Source organism: Homo sapiens, chromosome 11 (genome assembly GCF_000001405.40).
Source record: "Homo sapiens chromosome 11, GRCh38.p14 Primary Assembly".
Lineage (NCBI taxonomy): Eukaryota > Metazoa > Chordata > Mammalia > Primates > Hominidae > Homo > Homo sapiens.
Genome location: NC_000011.10, coordinates 86,135,096 through 86,149,703, shown reverse-complemented (window position 1 = coordinate 86,149,703; position 14,608 = coordinate 86,135,096). Strand labels below are relative to the sequence as shown.

Sequence of the window (14,608 nt, the reverse complement as noted above, 5' to 3'; positions counted from 1 at the left end):
TTTATTTTTTATTTAAAAATTAGGAAATAGAGAAGTAAAAGAAAGCACAACAGAATCCCGCTGATGTAGAAACTACATAAACTTCTTATATAAAGGTATCTTAAACCTTTTTGTGCATATATTTGTTAACAAAAATGGGATAATTCAGAATATAGTAATTAATATCTACTTACTTTTAAGTGGAACTATAAAATACTAACTTCTTTATATCTGTGAACATACCTCAACAACATTATTTTTGTTAAATTCTGCCATTGAAATTGTATCATGATTGATTTGGTAATATTTCTATTGCTGGATATTTAGGTAATTCAAACTTTTCACTATTAAAAGCACTACTGGGCATGGCACAGTGGTTCATGCCTATAATCTCAACACTTTGGGAGGCTCAGGCAGGAGGACTGCTTAAGGCTAGGAGTTTGAGACCAGTCTGGGCAACACAGTGAGACCCTAATCTCTAAAAAAAAAATTAGCTGGACATGGTGGCCCACCCCTGTGGTCCTAGCTACTCAAGAGCCTGAGGTGGGAGGACCTCTTAAGCCTGAAAGGTCAAGGCTGCAGTGAGCCATACTTGCATCACTGTGCTCCAGCCTGCAACAGAGCAAAATCCCATCTCAAACAAACAAACAAACAAACAAAAAGGAAAAGGAAAAATAGAAAAGCAGTGAAAAGCAATACTGCATATTCTTAATGATTTTATTACCTTAAAAAAAACTATTTAATTAAGTCATGAACACATAAAGGCATCATTACACTTGTGAAAAAAATTTAAGATAACATGAAATGCTTTTTGACCCTCATTGCCAGCCCTGGTTCCCTTCCTCTCCCTGCTCCCTTGTTCCAGCTCTCCCACTCCCACGCCAGCTCGAGGAATCCAATCATCAACCCAGCTTTTGATGGGGATGCATGGGGTGCAGGGTACAGAATTAAGTGTTATAAGGATTTCAGTCAATGACAGTCTCCACCCTAGTGAGGGAGAACAGGCATGCATTCATGGGGAGATGCGAATAACAATTACAAGCCGTGCACCATACCACTGAGAGCAAGCTAAGGTTAGGCAAACTGAGCACAGTCCCAATTACTGCTGAGTGCACATGAAGTCCTCTTCAATTTTCAGCAGGATCACTGCTCCAGGTTTTTACTTGACCTCCTTGCCTATAATCTCTCCCTTTCAACCCATCCAGTTTACTGCTGATAAAATAATCTCAAAAGACACTCTTCTGATATGTGTGATCTTGTTCATTCCCTACTCCTCTTATTCTCCCTGCTAACCTTCCCCTCATCTTCAAGACTCAGCTCAAACTTAAATTTACTCAGTATGCAGCTACGGAGCATATATTAGGTGCTAATCACCTCTTCTAAAGCTTTCCTCACTCTAGGTTCTGTGAGCAACTCCCTCCTGGCTTTTTCTCTTGTAACAGATTCTAGTTTGTTGGGATTGTTATTTTTCTGGCCTACCTCAACCCCAAACCATGAGTTCTTAAAGTATAGGACCTCCATCTTATCAATCCTGTACCCTCAGCACCCAGTACAGTGCTGGGTACATAGTTGATGCTTAATATTTGTCTGCTCAACAAAAAGAATAAATAAATGAGCTTCCCAGAAATGTCCCACTGGTTCTTAATGTACTTTTAGGATTTGGAGGTTACTTCTTGCTTAGAGTAAGAAGCAACTGCGTTAGGTGGCAGAAGTGGAGGGAGCCTTTGAGGTGACATGTTCTAGCTCCTTAAAGGGACATGTTGGTTCTTGCCCCATTCTAAGTCTTCAGATTCTACATTTGAAACAAACAGCCTATTGCTGTCTTTGCAATATAAGAGGTACTAAGGAAGTGTTTGTTCAAAAAAATAAAGAAAAGGGGCTTTTTTGATGTTGTTGTTTTTATTTTTTGAGATGGAGTCTCACTCTGTCGCCTAGGCTGGAGTGCAATGGCACGATCTCAGCTCACTACAACTTCTGCCTCCCTGGTTCAAGTGATTCTCCTGCCTCAGCCTCCTGAATAGCTGGGATTAGAGGCGCCCGCCACCTCGCCCAGCTAATTTTTGTATTTTTAGTAGAGATGGGGTTTCGCCATGTTGGCCAGGCTGGTCTTGAACTCCTGACCTCAGGTGATACGCCTGCCTCAGTCTCCCAAAGTGCTAGGATTACAGGCATAAGCCACCATTCCCGGCCAAAGGAAAAGTTTTAAAAAGATCCCAACTTTCCCTAGTCAGGAATTGGAAGTTTGTAAAGCTCAAACCTATTGATGTTGCCCCCTTGCCTAAATCCCTTTGGTTGTTTCCCATTGCTGTTAGGATAAAGTTCAAAATTTTAAACTTGACCAGCAAGGCCCCACATGCCATGAAGGCTGCCAACCTCACCAACATCCTGTCACATCATTCTTCTTGGATCTCTTCACACTCCAGCCCCACAAGTAATTTCTTTGTTTCTCATGGGCACCACACGTCTTCAAAAATGCTTCTTATGCCTGGAACGCTCTCTGCTGTAACCGACACCCACACCCATGGCCTCACACTTCCCCATGTCACCTGGCTTATTATACTGCATCCTCTTGTCTCAGCTTAGCTGTCACTGCCTAGGGAAGCCTCTCTGGACCACACTCTAAGTTATGTCACCCCACTGCACATTTGCATAGCACTCTGTATTTTTCCCTTATGACACTTTTTATTAGTATAACTTGATAGTTAAGTGTGTATTATTGAATGTTTTCTTCTTAATCGCCACCTCCTGATTCCAGACTATAAACTTCAGGAGGACAGGATCCATGTCTGTTCTGTTCACTACTTTATTGAAGGGGCTTTACCTACATTATCTCATTTAGTTGAACAATCCTGCAAAGCAGATATCCTCATTCTTATTTGGCAGATGTGATAGTGATGTGTGAAGCTGATAGACTTGTGTGATAACGTCAAGATTTGAGCATGGTTCCATCCATATTTCTAAAGGGCTAGAAGTTTGTTTATTTGGGTTTTGGATTATCAGGACCTGAACTCAAAGTCCCCCTGAACTACAGTCCCAGTTCCACCACTTTCTAATTTTATTTTATTTATTTATTTTTGAGACAGAGTCTCATTCTGTTGCCCAGGCTGGAGTACAGTGGGGCGATCTCAGCTCACTGCAACCTCTGCCTCCTGGGTTCAAGTGATTCTCCTGCCTCAGCCTCCCAAGTAGCTGGGATTATAGGCGCTTGCTACCATGCCCGGCAAATTTTTGTATTTTTAGTAGAGATGGGGTTTCACCATGTTTGCCAGGCTGGTCTCGAACTCTTGATCTCAGGTGATCTGCCTGCCTCAGCCTCCCAAAGTGCTGGGATTACAGGTGTGAACCACTGCACCCGGCTCTAATTTTGTAATTCTAAGTGAGCCTCTTCATATATATAATAGGGATAATATTACTTATTTTATCTATCTCATAACATTCTTCAGAGGATCAAATGAAATAATAGATATGAAGTGCATGGTAGACTATAATCCACTCTACTAATATAAGTGAAACAAGTAGCTTTTTAAAAAACATTTTTGCAACTTCCGCCTCCTAGGTTCAAGCGATTCTTATGCCTCAGCCTCCCAAGTAGCTAGGTTTACAGGAGCACACTGCCAGGCCTGGCTAATTTTTAGTAGAGACAGGGTTTTACCATGTTGGCCAGGCTGGTCTCAAACTCCTGACCTTAGGTGATCTACCTGCCTCGGATTTGACCTTCCAAAGTGCTGGGATTACAGGCATGAGCTACCATGCCCGGCCTCAAGCAACATTTTTTATCAGGCTCAAGCCTATAACGGCTGCTGCTTATCTGGCTGGCCGCTCTGGATATGAGTTTCTTGAATAAAATTGTCAATGTGGAGACACTGAGTCCAGATGTCTCTGTACATTATCTAGGGGAGGTTGTTAGCCCAGGACTGAAATTGACAACAAAAAGATTAATTTTGAATGACTGCATCCATTTTACAGAATGAGAACTGTACATTTAGTTTTTTCATAATGTAAATAAGGCCAATAAAGAATATGCAGTGGATTTCTAGTATGTAACCTCTAGTCCCTGCTCGCCAAGGAAAAGATGAAATGGTTAGTTAAGTGTGGTTAATGATTAGCATTAATGGTTAAGCACTTAGGCTTTGGAGTCAGACATTTGAGTTCAATTCTCTCAGCTCTACATTTACCAACAGGGAGAACTTGGGCAGGTTACTGCTCTACAGCTTCATTTCTACATCTGCAAAATAGATCTACCCCTCAAATTGTTATAAATACTAAAACTAATAAAGTAAGTGCCTGCACATAGGAAGCCCTCCATAAATTTGGAGAGTTATTGCCATCCCAGTCCTCTTTCTTTCTTGGCTTGCTGATCCCTGTGCACCTATTTCTTGCATGTTTCTTCCATTCTAATTGGAATGATGATTTTCAGGTGTCAGGGTCTTAAATACTAATGACTGAGAACACTGCCTCTCAATCTGCATCTGGTCCCAGCAAAGCCAGCTTTGTATATAAAGAGGAGATCTCTCCTCTTACGCTCTTTGCACAATGACTCTCACTAGTTTCTTGTGCTTCTGGGGAAGCTTCTCCTATTGATGTAGAGCAGAAAGTTTTTCTATTCATATTTGAGAAACTGCATGTCTTGACTCAGCTACTTTTGACTGGCACACTATGGGTGGGAGGATTTTTATTCTCTTTGGCTTTGGACACCAAGAGGATGTGCAATTTGGAGCCACAGTGAAAAAGAGGTTTTACTGTTCAGTCACTGCAAGGCTACTATTAATATCACATAGGCTACATAAGATTAGATTCATTATTATACTTAAGAAGGAAGTCTTTCTGCAATTTTGAACTAGGAGCCGGAAATTCCAGCTATAGCGTTATATTCTGGTTTGTGTGTGTGCTTTCACTTGGCATTTTTTGAGACACTATCGTATTCTATTCTCTGGAAGACTACAAAGATGAATGGCATCTTCCCCTCATCAGAACTTGCAAGCCTGTGTAGGAGATAAAAACACAAATAATGGGAGGGAGTGAACAAGTATGGGAGGAAGGACATTCTGAGAGAGGCCCCCTCTTTTCTGGATTGGGATTCATGTGTACAGGGTGGTAAAGTAAGAGAGTGAAAAGATGTCAGGCTCTGTGCGTACCAGGTGGTAAAGTAAGAGAGTGAAAAGATGTCAGGCTCTGTGCATCACCACACTGGGCCTGAATCTTATTAAAGTTACCCTGAGCAACCCACTTGCCCTTTCTGAACCAGTTTTCTCATATGAAAACAGAATAATCATGCTTACCACATAAGATTTGTTGTGCAGATTGAGTGAGATAGAGTACATAAAGTGTCAAGCACAATGCCAGGCTAATTGTAGATATTAGCCACATGGATAAAATTATGATTAATAGGCCAGGCGTGGTGGCTTACTCCTGTAATCCCAGCACTTTGGGAGGCCAAGGCGGGTGGATCACCTGAGGTTGGGAGTTCGAGACCAACCTGATCAACATGGAGAAACCCCGTCTCTACTAAAAATACAAAATTAACCGGGTGTGGTGGCACGTGCCTATAATCCCAGCTACTCGGGAGGCTGAGGCAGAAAAATCACTTGAACCCAGGAGGTGGAGGTTGCAGTGAGCCGAGATCTCACCATCGCACTCCAGCAAGAGTGAAACTGTCTCAAAAAAAAAATTATGATTAATATCCAAAAGCGTAGATAGTATTAATAAATGTTGTCAGTATATAGGGGCAGTGGATGAGGTGTAATGAAAGAGACCTTAACTCTCATCCTAGTAACATGGTGGCCATGGACCATCTTCCCAGATATACAACTCTGCTGTACCAGTAAATGCGAAGTGCTTCCTGCTAAACATTTGCCACTCTTCTGACACAGATAGTGATATCCTGTGGTCACTTCCCTCCCCTGGTCATATGTTAGGTAGTGGTTTCATGCACACTCCACCCAAGATGGTGGATTATCTGACAGTAACAGAGAAACAGGAAGAACAGTGGTTTCAACTGAAATAAGAGGTGATTTATTTTTCAGTAAATAACTTCCATTCCCATCAGTTCCCTGACCAAACAATGTGCAAGCTGTAATGTGAAATGATAAGGAAGCCAAGGCACAGCTTTTGGAAAAGCTGAAAGCCTCTTTAATATTGGATGCAAATTCTGTCAACTGTAGCATGCCGAATAAGATGGTGGCCGAAGAGAACTGTGGTCAGGATAATGACTATAGCAGACAGTGGAAGGAGGAAAGGCGCCTGGCACCATGCCTGTAAGTGCAACTGCACTTCCCTCAATAAAACTGCTGCTTTGCCCTAAAATCTCACATTTGGTTTGACCAAGGTAGGAAAAGTGATCCAGATTAGAATAGTCGCTCAGTAGAAGCTAACCCAGGTCATTTATTATAAAACTCCTTGATTTATGGGAAATACGGAGTTTCTAGTAGGAAAAAATGAGGCCATAGTTGATACCATGGTTGTTAGTCATTAGAAATACCACTATGGACTTTCTTAGGTTTCCAAAAGTATTATTCTCACAGGGAAATTGTAACATCTAAAGGCTGTATTGGCATTAATATGGTCGTATCTAAGTTCATCATGATGACCATCATAATGGTACCATTTTTGAGCTTTCAGCTTAGGTCATGGAGATTTGCTTCTGAAGACCCCCACCTTTGGTTAAAACTGTACAAGCCCTGGAGAGGGGCTTATGTTCAGGATCTAGGCTAAAATCTCCGTAAGGTTAGAGACCTTTTCTATCTTCCTCAGAATGGTGTCACACACGGAGCTCAGCACAGTGTGCAGTGTAGGATGAGTGTTCAATCAATACTTGTTCAGTATTTGATTCAACATTCATTATCTCTTTTAATCAAAGCCACCCTGAAAGCTCAATATTATTAGCTCTAGTTTGCCTGCTTGTTTCAATGGTACATACAGAGTTACACAAGTGATGGGGTATTGTAGAGGTGAGAGAAGGATGCTCTATAGTGGCATGATCTCTGAACTTAATGTGGGAGAATCAAGGAAAATATTGTTTACGTGAAGTTCCTTCCACAGAGTTGGGCAGGGGAGGGTGGCTCTGTTGGCCATTTGACTAGAGAATGAGCTCAAAACCATGTTCAAGGGGAGAGGGAGCATCAAGGGGAGATGTTTGGAGAATACTTGGGCACTGTAACAACCATCCTCACATAGCCAGGGCCCACTCAGAATGGAAGAGACTGTCTTGTCCTGTATAGGCCCAAAGGGCAGAACGCAATACAAGTTTTAGGGAAAGTGATTTTGGCTTCACACAGGGAAGAACATTTAACCCTTGCTGCTGTTCAGAAATAGAATAGATCACCTTGGAGGCAGTAAATCCTCTGTCATTGTGGGTGTCCAAGGAGGAATCACATGATCACTTGAGAGGGATATTGGGAAAGAGATTTAAACATTGACTAAGAGGAGAAAGGCATTGGGTTAAATGAGTATCTCCTTTGTGTCTCCTGTATTCTATGATTCTATAATCCTTTATTTGAAATTTGTGAATATGGCATTAAAAAATGAATGTATTTAAAAGGAAACTAAGTAGTAGGTTACGTCCAATTGTGTGAGTCTACAAAATCCCCTAGGACAGAATCTCCATCTGTGTGACAGAGCACTGGGTTCCTAGAACCCATGCTGATGCCTGGCACATGGCACACCTTCATTAACATGTGTTAAATGAATCAGTGGAATTCTGGATATGCTAAGGACTTATGCTGTGAGCTCCTCCTTCCCAAGATGTCATGGAGTGAGATAGGAATGAAAACTGAACCCAGATCAACCTTCCTGTTCCCCTTTCCTATGTACAGAAGTTTGGTCTAGAGGGAAATAGTTGCACTTACTTGTGGCTTAAATGTTTGACTCACATAGTTTCTTCCTCTGGAGAAATGCCTCAATGTGTGTATTTTCTGTTGGCCCCACAGCTTAGAAGCTGTTGTGAGTAAACCACACAGAAGCCAACTTGTGGATTGCTAGGATGAGAGGTCCGGCAGGGGCCTGAGGGATGCCCTACTCTGTGATATGCCGGAGCAAAGGGACATAAAATAACAGGCAGAAAACCATAATCCAATATGGGAAGTCACCCCAGAGGTGACCCTGGAGAAACCCCAGAGATAAGTGTATCTAGCAGTGTGACTGGCATCTCTTAAGGGCTCAATACAGCATATTGAACAAATGAACAAATCCAGAAGGAGTGCTGGACTAGGAATCAGGAAGCCTGCACTCCCCTCTGGATCTATGTGTCACTGACTGTCTGTGTGACCTTATGCTCTCTTGCTGTTATTTGGGACTACCAGGCATTTAAACAATTGTCATATTTGGGGGATACCAGTTATAGAGACAGAAGAGCATATTTGTCTCAACTAGTTGGAAATGGGAAGTGGGTGGCTTCAAGGGCCACTTTTACAAAGTAGAGTAAGTAGGATTGTGTGTATACTTGGATGAGACATGTGAAGAAAGGAAGGTGGTCCAAAGCAACTCCTAGATTTCTGACTTGGGCAGCTGGTGGATGGCGACAATGTTTACTGGGATGGGAGCAAGCAAGTAGCCACGGGTTTGAGAGGAATCTGATGATGGGCACCTTGTACTCCCAAAGCCCACATATTCAGAAAGACTCTGGCCCTTTGGCTCTTTCCCTACCTCTGTGACTCTGAAAATAGGCCCTCTGCATGAGAGGGATGGGCCACTGCAAGGCAGGCAGCTCCAAACGTGATGGAGCCTCAGGTTATGCTTCCTGGTGCTGGAGTGCTTCATGGGGCTGGAGTAACTCGGCCCTAATTCCCTCATCCATCTTTTTTCTTATTGCTAAAGCAGTTCCAGAAGGCAAATATGGAGATCTGGGACCCACAAGCCTAAAATGATAAAGAAAAGAAGAGAACCAGGGGTGGCGTCAAGATTAGAAGCTGGTTTGCTGCCAGAGCTTTGCTTCCTTTAATGCACTCGCCCACACTCTCCCTGTTTTTCAAAGACCAACTGCAGGCTTGACTCCTGCAGCCATGTCGGTGCCACTAGGCCTTGGTGCCGAATAAATAAAACTAGAGGGAAAAAATACAGTTGTCTGAGGACTGGGGATGGCTGGGAGCATCCAGCTTAGTGTCAAACTGAGGAAATGGTAGGATGGGAATCGATATGTAATCGAGAGAACAGATCTCCCGTGGACACAGACACCACCCTGATCTGAGCCTCATTTCAGTACTGCAGGCCTGGGTAGAGTCAGCTGACCCCAAAAGCACTGTGCTGGAGAATAGAGAATGACTGTCATTCTATGATGCCTTCTGAATATCGCTGCATAGACAGCATGCACTCTTTATAACAGCAGAAAGAGACATAAAAGAGACAAGGGTGGGGAGAGCAAATGTAAAAATATGAGAAATTATGCCCCTCGTCTTTAATTTTTATTATTATTATTTTTTTGAGACAGAGTCTTGCTCTGTTGCCCAGGCAGTAGTGCAGTGGCATGATTATGGCTCACTGCAGCCTCAAACTCCTGGGCTCCAAAGATCCTCCTGCTTCAGCTTTCTACATAGCTAGGACTACAAGCGTGTGCTACCACACCCAGTTAAATTTTTTTTTGTTTTTCCATTTTTTGTAGAGACGAGGTCTCACTACATTCCCCAGGCTGGTTTTGAACTTCTGGCCTCAAGCGATCCTCCTTGGCCTTTTAAAGCACTGGGATTACAGGCATGAGTGACCACACCAGGCCTTTTTTTTGAGACAAGGTGTGGCTCTGTTGCCCAGGCTGGAGTGCAGTGGTGCGATCTCGGCTCACTGCAACCTCCGCCTCCTGGGTTCAAACCATCCTCCCACCTCAGCCTCCCAAGTAGCTGGGATTATAGGCATACACCACCATGCCTGGCTAATTTTTGTATTTTTGATAGAGATAGGGTTTTCCCATGTTGCCCAGGCTGCTCTCCAACTCCTGGGCTCAAGTGATCCTCCTGCCTTGGCCTCCCCAAGTGCTGGGATTACAGGCATGAGCCACTGTATCCAGCCCTCCGGCCTTCATTTTTAAAAAGAATAAGTTTTATTTTTCTTTCTAATTACAAAAACAACATATACTCATGGTAGACAATCTAAGAAATACAGAGACCTAAAATAAATAATCAACTGTAATCCCACTAACCACTGTTGCTATTTGATGAATATTTGAATATTTACTGAATGCTGACTGTCTGAGGCACTCTAACAATCCTAAGGCTCAGGTAGTAAAATTATTCCCCTTTAATTAATGAAAGAACTGAGATTCAGCGAGGTTAAGATTTGCCTAAAAACACACAGCTGATACGTGGTAAAGCCTGGATTTGAACCTGGTTCTGTATCCCAATTTTCTCACAATATTTTATTTGTCTTGATCTACCAAGATTTGTCTTGGTATTTGTCTTGATACCAGAGATGATGGTACATCATCAAACAATCCCAATTTTCAAATGGGAAATACTTCAAAGCAAAAAGATACTGCATGAAGATGTTTCAAAAATGCGTTTTGTCTTTCAGGTCTTGTCACAGTTATTGCAATTTTGTAAGATCATTCATTGCGAAAGTGGTGTTTTGATTCTTTGCCCTTTCCGGCAACAAAAACAGAAAGCGACTTCCCTTCTATCATTTGGCCTGAGGCTTCTTTCTGCTTCTGCCCAAGGCAGACTGTGGTTAGCACTCAGTGCTTAACCTCTTCCTCCTGCATGTCCCTCTGAAGTAATACATTTTTGTTTTGACACTTTGGATATACTGGACCCTAAAAATCAAGCCAATAAGGAGCAGCCCAGAAAGGAAGAGAGTGCCATAGTCTCACCTGTGTTTTAGGGAGGTTAGTTTTGTAGCCGTGCAAGGGCTGGCTTGATTAGGAGATCTTAGACTCAGAGAAATTGGTTATCACTTTTAAAAAATGAACAAATGACATGGGTAACAACCTTACCCCATTCATAAGCTTCACCATCTCTCACCACATCTCTGTGTCCAGCCCCATTCCTGAATTCCTCATCTGACCCTCATTTCATCCTGACATTAAGGAGATTATCTACACAGATTATTTGATGATTTTTTAAAAGCTGAAAATTTAATAATTTATTCTTTACAGTAATGAATTAAGTCTGAACACTGAAATATCACTGGCACTAAAACTACCTCAGTAAAACATCATGTACCCAATACCCAATCCTGACTACCCAGTTTTGTTCCCCAGCCAGTCTAGCCCTGACAGTTTTAGACACTTCCTGCACATTCTCCACCATTAACCAGCTCTAGCTCCTCCTGGTAACTCTACAGTGGCTCTCAAGATAGAATTGTCATTAAATGTGGAAACTTTGGTTATCTTTATTTTTATAATTATTTATTGATTGATTTATTTTTTGAGACAGAATCTCACTCTTGTCATCCAGTCTAGAGTGCAGTGGCACAATCTTGGCTCACTGCAACGTCTATCTCTGGGTTCAAGCAATTCTCCTGCCTCAGCCTCCCCAGTAGCTGGGTTTACAGGCATGTGCCACCATGCCTGGCTAATTTTGTATTTTTAGTAGAGATGGGGTTTCACCATGTTGGTCAGGCTGGTCTCAAACTTCTGACTTCAGGTGATCCACCCGCCTCGGCTTCCCAAATTGCTAGGGTTACAGGCCTGAGCCACTGCATCTAGCCAGAGATCAATTTTTAAAAATTCTGCATATGAGTGAGAACGTGTTGTGTTTGTCTTTCTATGTCTGGCTTACTTCACTTAACATGTTTTCCAGATTCATCCATGTTGTTGCAAATGGCAGGATTTCGTTATTTCTTACGGCTGAATAGTATTCCATTGTGGTATATATATACATATATATATATCACATTTTCTTTATCCATATTCATCCATTGTTGAACACTTAGATTGATTCCATATCTTGGCAATTGTCAATAATGCTGTAGTAAACATGGGAGTGCAGATATCTCTTCAATTTACTGATTTCATTTCCTTTGTATATATACCTAGTAGTGACATTGTTGGATCACATGGTAGTTCTATGCTTAATTTTTTGAGGAACTTTAATACTGTTTTCCATAATGGCTGTGCTAATTTAAGCAGTGGTAACTTCGGAACCAAGCTGTCTGAATTCAAATCCCACCTTTACCAGTTTGCATGTGACTTTGGGCAAGTTAATTACCCCATGCCTCAGTTTCCTTGTTTACAAAATGGAGAAATAGTATCTATTTTATAAGGTTGTTGTGAGATCAAATACTTGTAAAGCTATTGCTTGTAAAGCTCTTAGAATATGGCCTGGCATATTGTAAGCACAGTGTAAATGTTAGCTATAAAGACAAATGGAGTCATCTGTCCATCTTGTCATCTCAAGGGTCAGTGGTCAAGATATATTTCTTAAAAATTATTTTAAATTTTAATGGTTTTCCTATTTTATTTATCGGCATTGCAGAGTAATTTTGTTGCACATGCACAGTAGTTTGTTTACAAATTATACATCAAATAGATTTGTATGGGCTTGTCTAGAAATCTTAACCATTTATAACATTGTGTGTCATATACATATCTCTATCTATCTAAATTTATATTTGTATGCACACACACAAAACACTTTTTGCAGTAGATTTTTGGACACAGATTTTATGAACTATATCCAGCTTATTTTATAAATTTATTTTTCTTCTATGTATTTTTCATTTTCCAGAGGTTGGGCTCACAAAGCATTGTCAAGACTTGAGGTGGCCTTGAATAGCATGCTAGAATTTTGTATTTTATTCCCTGCGTTATAAGGATATGCCCAGAAAGGAAGAGAGGGCCATAGTGTAACCTGTGTTTTAGGGAGGTTAGTTTTGTAGCAGTGCAAAGGCTGGCTTGATAATGAGGTCTTGGAGTCAGAGAGATTAGTTAAAAGGCAGTTAGAATAACTCAGTCTGAGAACCTCAATTAATGTGCTGGACAAGAGGGAATACATGTAAGAATAATCTGGGGATAGAATCAAGAGGACTCAAGAGTGCAGTGGTGAAATGGTGGAGAGAATTCCAAAGGCTTTCAGTTTCGGTTGATGAGAGGCCGGTGAAACCATTAGGAAAGACAGCCTTCTCTATTACTTCCTAAATACAGAAGGGATTCAGAATTTTCAAGGAGAGGTAGAGGTAGAGACTGTAGAAGGTCAGAATATAAAGCAAGCCTATTCCTCAGCTTAAAAAACTTGGCATCTGAACCTAAAACTAAACAAAGTTGGAATCTTTTGTTTAAAAAAAAACAGAACATATTTAGTTGATAATGATTTTCACTGATGATTCATTTGACCATGATAATTAAACACATTAAATGTTACATTCCAGGCAGTATCAGGTAGATGCTAAGTTGTGAAGCAACACACTTTTTCATCCCTGCAGATCTGAAAGTTTACCTTTTCCAATACAGTAGCCAGAGCTCTGGAAAGAAACAAACAAGGCCACAAGTGCCCCAACTACATCCTTTTCAAGATGCGAATGCTTTCCACCTCCATCCAAGACTCTCAGAGCCTGTGTGTTCAGTGGGCAAAGAACGAGACAACAAGATGCCTTGGTCCAAGACTGCATGGGCAGTTAACTGTGCAGCAGGGAATGGCTGAGGCCTCCAGCCCGGAAATGGTGTGCTCTTACTAAACCACACTTCTCTCCCACCTCCCTCCCAAAAACTCCAGCTCGCATAGGGAGAGTTTCTGAGAATGAAGCTTTTCTATATTGTATCTGTGGGTTCTCTTACCGTGTTAGCTAAGTCAGAAATCCAGATGCATGACAAATACAGTGGTACTAATGGCGACTAAGGGACAGATATATATATATATATTTTTTTTTTCTTGGCTCACTGCAACTTCTGCCTCCTGGGTTCAAGTGATTCTCCTGCCTCAGACTCCTGAGCAGCTGGGATTACAGGCACATGCCAGCATGCCTAGCTAATTTTTGTATTTTTAGTAGAGACAGGGTTTCATCATGTTGGTCAGGCTGGTCTTGAACTCCTGACCTCGTGATCCACCCACCTCGGCCTCCCAAGGGAGACAGACTTTTTAAGACACTGGGAAAAACCTAGAGTGTGTAGTTGCCATAATAAAAATATATCATTTAAAAGACTGATTCCACAAATATTTATTCAGTACCTACCAGGTGTCAGGCACTGTTGTAGGCAATGGGTAACAGAGTAGTGAAGAAAACACCAATATGTTATGTAATGGGAATGGGCACCCCACTGGGTGGTGTGTTGGGACTTAGGATCAGGTCTATCAAGTTAAAGGTGTGACCCAATGAGAACACGATTGCACAAGTAATCATATCACAGATTTTTAACTTCTACTTGAATTTCAATAGTAAAAGAGGATCAATTTGAACCCTGCTTGACTTATCAGTAATATATCCCTAACTCCCAGTGAAAAGTCATCTCTCTCTTCTCTGAGCTCTCCTCTCCATCCTTTGATCCTCTGAAAAACACTGGATCATTCTACCATGCATTATAATGATTTATGCATGTCTTATCAGCCTTTGTAGACTCCTTCAAAGCAGGTGTTGCTTCTCTCTCTAGATCCCTCTCCTGACACTGGACATTGCCCTCATTCCCTTCTCTTTTCCACCCCCCTTCATCACACACTTGGAACTCCTTGCACACAGAACTCTCTGTTGTTGCCAGTATATGACAGACTCTGTTCCA

At 41.7% G+C, this 14,608-nt stretch overlaps 2 annotated features.

Annotated features, from left to right (window-relative positions):
- Nucleotides 1,135-1,185: a transcriptional cis regulatory region, noted in NCBI's record as "candidate enhancer chr11.4680 targeted for multiplex CRISPR interference". NCBI's record gives its function as "positively regulates PICALM gene expression with high confidence in K562 cells {active_cell/tissue: K562}" and the evidence as "EXISTENCE:mutant phenotype evidence [ECO:0000015][PMID:30612741]".
- Nucleotides 5,729-6,111: a transcriptional cis regulatory region, noted in NCBI's record as "candidate enhancer chr11.4679 targeted for multiplex CRISPR interference". NCBI's record gives its function as "positively regulates PICALM gene expression with high confidence in K562 cells {active_cell/tissue: K562}" and the evidence as "EXISTENCE:mutant phenotype evidence [ECO:0000015][PMID:30612741]".